The sequence below is a fragment of the Homo sapiens genome, chromosome 2, assembly GCF_000001405.40.
Source record: "Homo sapiens chromosome 2, GRCh38.p14 Primary Assembly".
NCBI lineage: Eukaryota > Metazoa > Chordata > Mammalia > Primates > Hominidae > Homo > Homo sapiens.
Window position 1 is genome coordinate 239,656,020 of NC_000002.12, and position 9,662 is coordinate 239,665,681.

Below are 9,662 nucleotides of genomic sequence, written 5' to 3' on the forward strand. Positions count from 1 at the left end.
CAGACTGGCCAACATGGTGAAACCCCGTCTCTACTAAAAATACAAAAATTAGCCAGGCATGGTGGCAGGTGCCTGTAATCCCAGCTACTTGGGAGGCTGAGGCAGAAGAATTGCTTGAACCCAGGAGGCAAAGGTTGCAGTGAGCCGAGATCACGCCACTGCACTCCAGCCTGGCAAGAGTGAGACCCTGCCTCAAAAAATAAAAATGAAAATAAAATAGCGCTGTGTCTTTTCTTAAATTTCTGCAATGTAACTGTTGGACAGTTCCCTTTAATTTCAGTTCATTGTGACAGGTCTCTGCTTGTTTCATAATCAGCATGGCATTAAGTGGCATGTGTGTTCATTGTGATGTTGACAGATCCTCTCTTTCAATACACAAACCCGATCTTTATTTTTAGCTTTACGTAGTGTTTTCCCATTTGTCACTAGCTTTTGCTCATCACTTTTGTCATAAAACTTCAACAGTCTGTCCTTCTGTTTCTTCAGGTCACGTATGGTGGTCATTCCAACACCACGCTCTTTTCTAAGACATTTCACACTTAAGCTGTGGTCCTATTTCCCCAACAGCTGGACTTTCTGTGCCATAAATCAATGCTTTGTCTTTTTCTTATTACGTTTGCCCAAAGGGGTATCTGTAGCCCTTTTTAATATTTCCAGCAATATCTTTACACCACAGAGCAGAGAATAAGAAAAAACAAAACAAAACAGTGAGTCATGCAGGTAGGTTTTGGCTTACGTGGGACATTTGGGAACCCGCTGTTGGCATGTCCAGCCTGCACACATGCCATTTTCTTACCCTTTGAGGACGTGCTTGTGTGGGGTAATCTGGGTGTGTGCAGAGAAGATATATCACCACTGAAAGTGGATGGAGGGTCTTTTTCCCCTGGGGAATGCTGAATAAACGGTTGTGCACCTGTGTTTTGACTGTGACCCATCACATGAAGTCAGGTGTGAAATTTTACACTTGTGGCCTCATGTCAGTGCTCAGAAAGTTTCAGATTTTGAAGCGTCTCGGATTCTAGGTTTTCAAATTAAAGATGCTCAAACTATACTTGATATATCAGTTTAAGTATCTAGGAGATAGTTTTAAGTATCTGTTTCCCACCTTACCTCCTTTTTTTTTTTTTTTGGTTGTTGTTGTTATATCATTATTTCTTCATTGAGAAATTTATAAAATTAATTTTACTCTGTAAATAATATTTATGTAGAAGTTTAGCCATAGTTCTGGATTTAAATTTAGTGTATCATCATTACTTAATGTCTTTTTTGTCTCTTGCTTGTCTGGAGTTTGTCAGGTTGTTTTCTCAAATTGAGCTCACAGGTGCCATTCCTGAAGTCTTTGGATGTTAGAGAATGTCTGTCTGTTTTCTCTACATTTGAGCAACACTTTGGGGAGATGCTCTGTAGACATGAAGAAAATACAAATTTAGGCTTCTCCATCCTCTGGTGCCAACTGAATCTTCACTTTTTTTCTTTCCTGGAGTTCATAGAATAATTTATTCTTGAAACCCTGTGATTTTACAAAAATGTGTTTATTCTGTAAAATTTTTTCTTGAGATATAGTGTTCCCCTTCACCACGCGGATTCAAGCCTTCTTTTATTCTAGTTTTCTTCTATTCTATCTTTGCATTTTTAATTTTTTTTTTTTGTTCTCTTTGTTTTGTTCTCTGCTTTGGGAATATCATGTATGAACATGTTATGTCCTTTTTTTGCCTGTCTTCCAGATCTATTGTTTTCTTTCTCATCATTTTAACGTTTTTCCTTGTGTTTTGCTCTATCTTTGCCTATTTCTGGTTTTAGCAGCATCTGTTCTTTGTTTTCTCTACTGAAGCTTTTATTTCTGCATATTCTTAACTTTCTCTTCCATTTCTTTGTCTGGGCTCCAGAACTTTTTTTTTTTTTTGTCTCTTGAAGATGAATTTTTTTTTTTGCATCTCTTCTTGCAGTATTTGTTTCAAAGGGGTTTTTAATTTCCTGTGGCATCAGGGAGAAGTTTTTGTTGGAGAGGTTTTCACTGTCCTGGCACAGTTCTGTGGAAGTGTGTTTTTCATTGCCTTCCTGGATGGTCACATTCAATGTCAGATCAAGGCAGGTGCATGGGGGCCCTGACATTTGGAGGAATGCAGTGCAACTCTGACGGGCCCTGCCAGCCCCACAGTGCCCTCTCCCTTAGGCCAACAGACCTGCCTGGCACCCTGCCCGCAAGGGTCTCAGAGGTGCTCTCGTTTCTGCCTTTGCCCCCCGACCCCCGCCCCGTCCCCTCTTGTGTCTGCCCCACTCTCATGGCCTTGACTTCACCATCTCCTTCTCTTTTGAACCTTTTGTATCTGGCTTCTTCTTTTCATTAAAAAATATTTTTACAGAAACTACTCTCTTTGAGCCAACCAATGACTTTCTGTCATCATTTCTGGCTATTTCTTCCAACTCTCGTGGCCTTCTCTATGTCCCCAGCCAGCCACTGTTAGGACTGTGGGCTTCCTTAAGCTCTTTCCTTAGGCCCTACTGGTGCAGTCCTGAACCTCCACTAAAGACCGCTGGCCATTCCCCCGGACTTCTGCCAAAGGCCGTTCTTCCCTCTAGCTTGGATGCTGTTACTGCCCAGGGTTAGTATTGGCTCTCTCTGCTCCCCTTCCCTCCCCTCCCTCCTCTCCTCCTCTCCTCTGCTCCCCTTCCCTCCCCTCCCTCCTCTCCTCTGCTCCCCTTCCGTCCCCTCCCTCCTCTCCTCTGCTCCCCTTCCGTCCCTTCCCTCCTCTCCTCTGCTCCATTCCCACCCCTCCCTCCACTCCTAGGCTCCCATGCCTTCCCTCCCTCCTCTCCTCTGCTCCCCTTCCCTCCCCTCCCTCCTCTCCTCTGCTCCCCTTCCGTCCCCTCCCTCCTCTCCTCTGCTCCCCTTCCCTCCCTTCCCTCCTCTCCTCTGCTCCATTCCCACCCCTCCCTCCACTCCTAGGCTCCCATGCCTTCCCTCCCTCCTCTCCTCTGCTCCCCTTCCCTCCCCTCCCTCCTCTCCTCTGCTCCCCTTCCGTCCCCTCCCTCCTCTCCTCTGCTCCCCTTCCGTCCCTTCCCTCCTCTCCTCTGCTCCATTCCCACCCCTCCCTCCACTCCTAGGCTCCCATGCCTTCCCTCCCTCCTCTCCTCTGCTCCCCTTCCCTCCCCTCCCTCCTCTCCTCTGCTCCCCTTCCCTCCCCTCCCTCCTCTCCTCTGCTCCCCTTCCGTCCCCTCCCTCCTCTCCTCTGCTCCCCTTCCCTCCCTTCCCTCCTCTCCTCTGCTCCATTCCCACCCCTCCCTCCACTCCTAGGCTCCCATGCCTTCCCTCCCTCCTCTCCTCTGCTCTCCTTCCTACCCTCCCTCCTCTCCGCCGCTCCCGTCTCTCCCCTCCCTGCTCTCCGCTGCTCCCATCCCTCCCCTCCCTCCTGTCTTCTGTGTCCCTCACACCTTCCCCTTCCTCTGCTCTCCTCTGTGCCCCTGGGAGCCCACATGTTCACTTGCCTGCACCTCAGGCCTGGACTCTGGTGAGCCACACCACTTGTCCCTCGTCCCTTCTTTCTAAACCAGAACTTCTTGTCATCCAGCCAGACTGTGACCCTATCTGGCCTCACCCTCCCTCCCTCCCTCCTTCCTTCCTTCCTTTTTTTTTTTTTTTTTTTTTTTTTGAGTTGCACTCTCGTCTCCCAGGCTGGAGTGCAGTGGCGCAATCTCGGCTCACTGCAACCTCTGCCTCCCAGGTTCAAGCTATTCTCCTGCCTCAGCCTCCTGAGTAGCTGGGATTACAGGCACCTGCCACCACGCCCAGCTAATTTTTGTATTTTTAGTAGAGACAGGGTTTCGCCATGTTGGTCAGGCTGGTCTGGAACTCCTGACATCAGATGATCAGCCCGCCTCGGCCTCCCATAGTGCTGGGATTACAGGTGTGAGCCACCGCGCCTGGCCTGGCCTCACGTTTTCTGTTTGATTTCTCTCAATAGAATCCTTGTGTGGGGCCTCGAAGCTGACTGACCACACCCCTGCCTCCGCCCTAAACTTGCGTCTGGGTCAATTGGTAGTGGGGCAGTTGTGTGGAGGGTTTTGTCACTGTATCTATTCCACCACGCCCTGCCTTTCCCTTCACACAGCCCCCACTCTGGTCCAGGCCCGGCTGGCGCGGTGACTCCTCCCCCACTGCCTGGTCCTCCCCCGCCCCTCCCACGCAGGCTCCAACACCGTCGGGGTAGGTTCTTTCTCCTAAAACATTGCTGAGCCCCACATCGTGTTAGGTTCTTTCTCATAAAACATTGCTGAGCTCCATCTCAGTAAATGTCCAGCAACCCCCCGCCCGCCCCCCAGACTAGGTGGAGCCACACTAGGCCACTTCTGTGACTCTGGGGTTGGCCCCAGCTGTTCCTCACTCAGTTCCCCACTCTGCTCCCCACTGCGGGGCTCACTGCCCCTCCTCCTGCTGTCCTGAATCCATGCTGAGCTCCAGCCCTCCCCACCTGAGACACCTCCCTCTGCCTCCCTCATCAGAGGCGGGCACCAGTCCAGAGCCGGCTTCGCCACCCAGCCTTGAGTCACCTCTCCACCTGGCCACCTACGGAGAAGCTCCTAGGTGATTCATTTGTCAAGTACCGACGAGACACCCTCTGGTGTGAGGCGGCATTGTTAGTAACCTTGTTATGATCTAAATATTCGCAGGTTTGGATCTCATCGCTACCATAGACTGTTGGAGTTTCAAGGGTGGAGATCCGCCATTGCTTTTTCCATATCCGCAGAAATTCCTTTCACATGAAATGTGAGTCTGTTGGGTTCCCCCCCGAGACCAGCGGTGGAAGAAGAAGCTGGAGGTGGCTGATGAGACACTTCATGCTGGACCAAGAAACGGGGACTCGGGGTTGAGTCCACATGTGCCATTTGTGGGGACGCCGTGCATTCCCCAGTTTGCCGCTCTCTGTTTCAAATTCTTTCACTCGATGCTGTTGTGGGCATGAAGTCAAAGCAGGCATGTGTGAGACAGTGCTTTGTAAAACATAAGGCACGGAACAAGTTTAGAACAGGAAGAGTTGAAGCTGGATTGACGCAATTACCAAAAATAAAATTAGCTGAGGGTGTCAGCGATGAGCCATGGAACTTTTAATAATCATCACATTTTAGGTCGGTGCCTTTATGCTTTGAATTCAAATGGCATCAATTTAGGAATAAAGAAGTCAACAGTTTTAATGGCCCAATATGGATGCAAGGGTCACTGATTACTTTAGGGTCCTTATGTTGCAAGGAGTCTAGGAAAAACTTCAATTTTTTTTTTTTACAGCAACGTGATTCTCTTTGTGGTGTCTACTAAAATAAGAAAGTTACAGTGAGATTTCTTCAGTGTTCTGATGGCTTTCTGCCTCTCCTCTGACCAGCGTGAGCCACTCCTTCATCTCTGCCTCTCACTTTCTGCTTGACAGTCAAGGCTCGCCTTGAACCTCCCTCTTCAGAAAGCCTTTCTGACCTGCCTCCTCAGGAGTGTTTGTTTGTGGTATTTGACCACAATCTGCACTATACTAATTAGCTATGATTTTTATGGGGCTGGAGGAACTTCTAAGGCAGCAGCCGCGTCGGGTTCTTCTGTCTCCTTCCCAGGGCTTCCTCAGGGCTTAGTACAGGGCATGTGCTAAGCATTCCCTAGCCCCTTCCTTTGCCCTTGTTTGTTCTTTCTAATCAGATTCTGTGGGGAAGTTCATTGTCACAATGTCCAATGTTTAGCATTCAAAGGCTGCATGAGGTAGATCAGGTAAACATACCTCTCTGGCTGTACCAAAATGGGGGGTTTGGCATATCCGCCACCTGAAAGCAGCTGGACCCTGCGTGGATCTGGGTTTGTATGCTGTGAGTAATGCTGTCTGCATCTTCGAATCTTTCACTGTAAGAAACAAAAGTCTGACAGCCTCTGAATCCCGCCCTCCTTCCTGATACACTGTGACAATGTGTTTATAGTACCCTGTTGATGCTGACCAGATGCTTGAAGAGGACAGGGTCAGATGCTTTGTTTGCCGAAGAAACCAGGTAGATACCCACACTGTGGCCCCAGGAGCTGGCAGCATCCTGGCAGCACCCTCGCAGCACCGCAGAGCCCCCACCTGCCTGCCCGTCACCGATGTCCTTTCTCTTCTTGAGTTAAGCCTTTCACTTACTGTCAGCTGGAGGATGCATGCCACAGCTAAATCCCTGGCTAAAAGGTACTAACTCCCAGATGCTCCAACCCCCACTGTGGGACTCACCGTGAAAATGTCCAGTTTCTTTATTATCAAAGAAAAATAATAGTCAGTGAAACCCAAACAAATCTTAGCGCTCCATGTGGCACAGTCTCTGCCTATTGGGACAAACTTGTGATCTGTTTCATACACCTTAAGATACAATGTATCTTTCGGGAGTATTTTTAAAGGGGCAGGGAGGCGGTGGGTGTGGTGCTTCCTGCAGAAAGACTCCTGAAAGGCGTCTTGACTTGTTTTTCTCGCTCCCCAAAGCCCATCCTCTTGTGCCAGCTCACTCCCTCTCCACTCTGCTCCTCCATTTCCTGTGCCTTTCCTGAGGGACTCAGCTTACACCCAACACACGCCAAGGGACTTTCATTGCTGCAGCATCTAGGACGTGTCATCTCATTGTCATCACTCAACACTTTTCTTATCAGCCTCAGGCTGTTACTTGGTCTCTGCAGATACAGCAGAACTTGAGAGAGAACCAAAAAACAAAATCCTTCCTTGGTCCTGGGTTATTCGCTGGTGGAGTCTGTGTCTCTGCTAAGATGACTTTGTCAAACACCTGCTATGTGCCAGAGCGTGGGCCCTGTGTCCAGCACACTTGCATGCCCTTTTGAGACTGACAGGCATCATTATCTTTTCTACAAAAAAGAAAGACGAGGCACTGGGTGCATAATTAACCTGCCCCAGACACGCAGCCAGTTAGTGGTGAAGCTGGAGCCCCCCCCGGAGCCTTCACATCACTGCCCTGCTCTCCAGCCAACCGTGGAACGAAACAAGAAGGCAGACAACGTCCACGGACGGCTCGCCCTGTGTTTATTATAGTGTTTGCAAATCTGAATAACTGAGCACATTCCTGACAACCCTGACTACTGAAATGAAGGCAAAGAGATGGGATGAAAAATGGGTACTTTGGATCAAAACAACCCCCGATTTATGTAAATGTAACTCTAACTTTTGGACAGGTGGCAGGTTTGAGACTGGGAAGCTGGATTCCCTCTGGACTGGGGGTGCCTCTGGCGACAACACTCCTGAGGAAGGCTCAAGCAGAGGAATTTTTTAAAATGAATGAATAAATGAGCTCTTCTCATAGGTTCTCATGAAAGGAGGGTCCCCAAAGAAGGGGAAGGGCTGAAGGGTTGGGTGATCTACACATCAGCAGCAGCAGTGTGTGGTTTCACCTGACAGACTGCTTGTTTGGGAGGGTGGAGGGGCTCTCCCAGGGGATCCCGAGGTTGCCCCTGAGTGAGCGAGGTCAGGACAATCTCTCCTCTCCTTCCTGGGTCTCAGGGAGCTTCCATGAACAGAGCTGGGGTCTGAGGCTGGCTCTTGGTTTGCAGCTGGGCTTGGCTGACACAGCCAGCCTGGCTCTGCTTGGGGTAGCAGGATACAGGAATTTAAGGCCAGCGTCTACTCCTGGGCGGGGGCAGGTCATCCCCCTGCCAGCCCATCTTTCCAATGTGACTAAGGGAGGTGCAGTGGGATGTGCAGGAAACGAGGATCCCTTCAGCCTCACAGTCCCCGGGACAGGGGCCTTGCATTTGTGTCTACTGGGCCGGTCTCACCCCAACATCCTAATGTCACCAACGTTGAACTTGTCTATTGTCTCAGTTTGGGTTTTCCTGAAAGTAGGTCCTGAGACAGGACTTGCGTACAGGCAGTTTATTTAGGGGACTGAGACAGGGAGAAAAGAAAAGACACAATGTGTGAATGAATAAGACGGACTCTCCTGAGGACAAGTGTTACTCAGCCCCACCAACCCCTTCTGAGGACTGTGTAGGACCCACCTGGAATTCATCTCCCCAAAGTATTAGGAGTCTGGGACACTTACTTTTCTGGGCCAGAAAAAGCCCCAGGCAGAGGTCCATGAAGGACTGATGTGGACAGATGCTCTCCAGTGACCTCCTGCACCGATGGTGTCTGCCACCCTGTCTTTGCCACCAGACTCTGAGTTCTGAGTCAATTTCGTCCACGGGACCCAGCTGTGGGCTTGGCCCATTTTTTTTTTTTTTTTAATGAATGAATGAATAAGCTCTTCTCATAGCTTTTCATGTAAGGAGGGTCCCAAAGAAGGATGAGCCAGGAGGCCCAGATAGGGGATCCCCTTTAGTTCCAGGTAGAGGGACACCCCAGGGTTGAGAGGGAACAGAGCAGCCTGAGGATGGCAAGGGAAGCGAGGGGTGGGGGTCTGGGGGCCTGGGGGCCTGAGCCCGCTTTGGCAAAGGCCAGGACAAAGTGGCCTTCTTGAGTGGTAGGGAACAGCAGGGTGTGACCTTCTTCCAGCCCAGGCTGGAGACCCCTCTGCCACCTCCTGGTGAGTGTGATGGGGGGAGGTGGCCTCTGTGATGAAAGTAGGAATGGCCAGGGCTGAAGCATCATGATGGAACTGTCCCCTGTGCCCCGGTTATGTGTGTCACTGCTGTGCCATGCCTGGGTGTGTGGGAGGACTGGAGGACACTGGCTGGGCCTGTATCAGGGCCACAGGAGCCCACTGGATGTTTGTGACTACACATCAAGTATGGAGGTAAGTGTCTTACGTGTTTGGGAAATGGTAATGGTGGGGAGGCCGGTGCAGGAGAATATGTGGGCCATGCCTCCTTCTGCTCCCTACTGTGTAACCTGAGGCAAGTGAACTTACTTCTTTGTGCTTTATGTCTCCCATCTGTAAAATGAAGACAATCACCATCCCCCCTCTTAGGATTACCACGAGAATGGAATGAGTTAACACACGGAAAACATTCAGACAGGGGCCTGAACTTCGGGAGTGCTCAATAATAGCTGTTTTTATTGTTGTGATTGACAGAGAACCTCTAGAAATAATTTCATTTCTACCTCCCGGTGGTCATGCAGGCAGCCATTATTTTGGTCTGTGATGAGCAGTCAGGGTTCAGGCAGGAAGACAGAAACATTCTAGGCATTTGCAACGGAGGGATTTAATATAGGGTATTTGTTACACTGGAGACAGAGTCCTGGGAAGCTGAGCAGGAAGTGGCAAAGCAGGTCAAGTCCCCCGAGAAGTGGCCATCAAGGCTTCAGTCGACCTGCCTGGGATCTACTGGGGAGAGGCCTTCGAGGACAGGAGTGGGTGGGCAGGGTCTCGGAGACCCCACAGGGTGGCCCCTGTGAAGGGGCGGGGTGAGGAGGAGGATGGAAGGAGGAGTGGGTGGGCAGGGTCTCGGAGACCCCACAGGGTGGCCCCTGTGAAGGGGCGGGGTGAGGAGGAGGATGGAAGGAGGAGTGGGTGGGCAGGGTCTCGGAGACCCCACAGGGTGGCCCCTGTGAAGGGGCGGGGTGAGGAGGAGGATGGAAGGAGGAGTGGGTGGGCAGGGTCTCGGAGACCCCACAGGGTGGCCCCTGTGAAGGGGCGGGGTGAGGAGGAGGATGGAAGGAGGAGTGGGTGGGCAGGGTCTCGGAGACCCCACAGGGTGGCCCCTGTGAAGGGGCGGGGTG

The 9,662-nt window shown here is 50.7% G+C and overlaps 1 long non-coding RNA gene across 1 annotated transcript, besides 1 other annotated feature; it reads left to right on the forward strand.

The window, feature by feature from the left end:
- The first annotated feature begins 388 nt into the window (after positions 1 to 388).
- LOC105373966 (uncharacterized) lies at positions 389 to 6,386 on the forward strand. Its single transcript, XR_924055.3, has 3 exons — positions 389 to 720; positions 2,452 to 2,603; positions 4,669 to 6,386. It is a non-coding gene; the product is annotated as an uncharacterized LOC105373966 (long non-coding RNA).
- Positions 4,466 to 4,965: an enhancer, noted in NCBI's record as "H3K4me1 hESC enhancer chr2:240582179-240582678 (GRCh37/hg19 assembly coordinates)". NCBI's record gives its function as "activates a minimal SCP1, AML or CMV promoter by ChIP-STARR-seq in primed H9 embryonic stem cells {active_cell/tissue: H9 hESC(primed)}" and the evidence as "EXISTENCE:reporter gene assay evidence [ECO:0000049][PMID:30033119]".
- Positions 6,387 to 9,662: the final 3,276 nt, after the last annotated feature.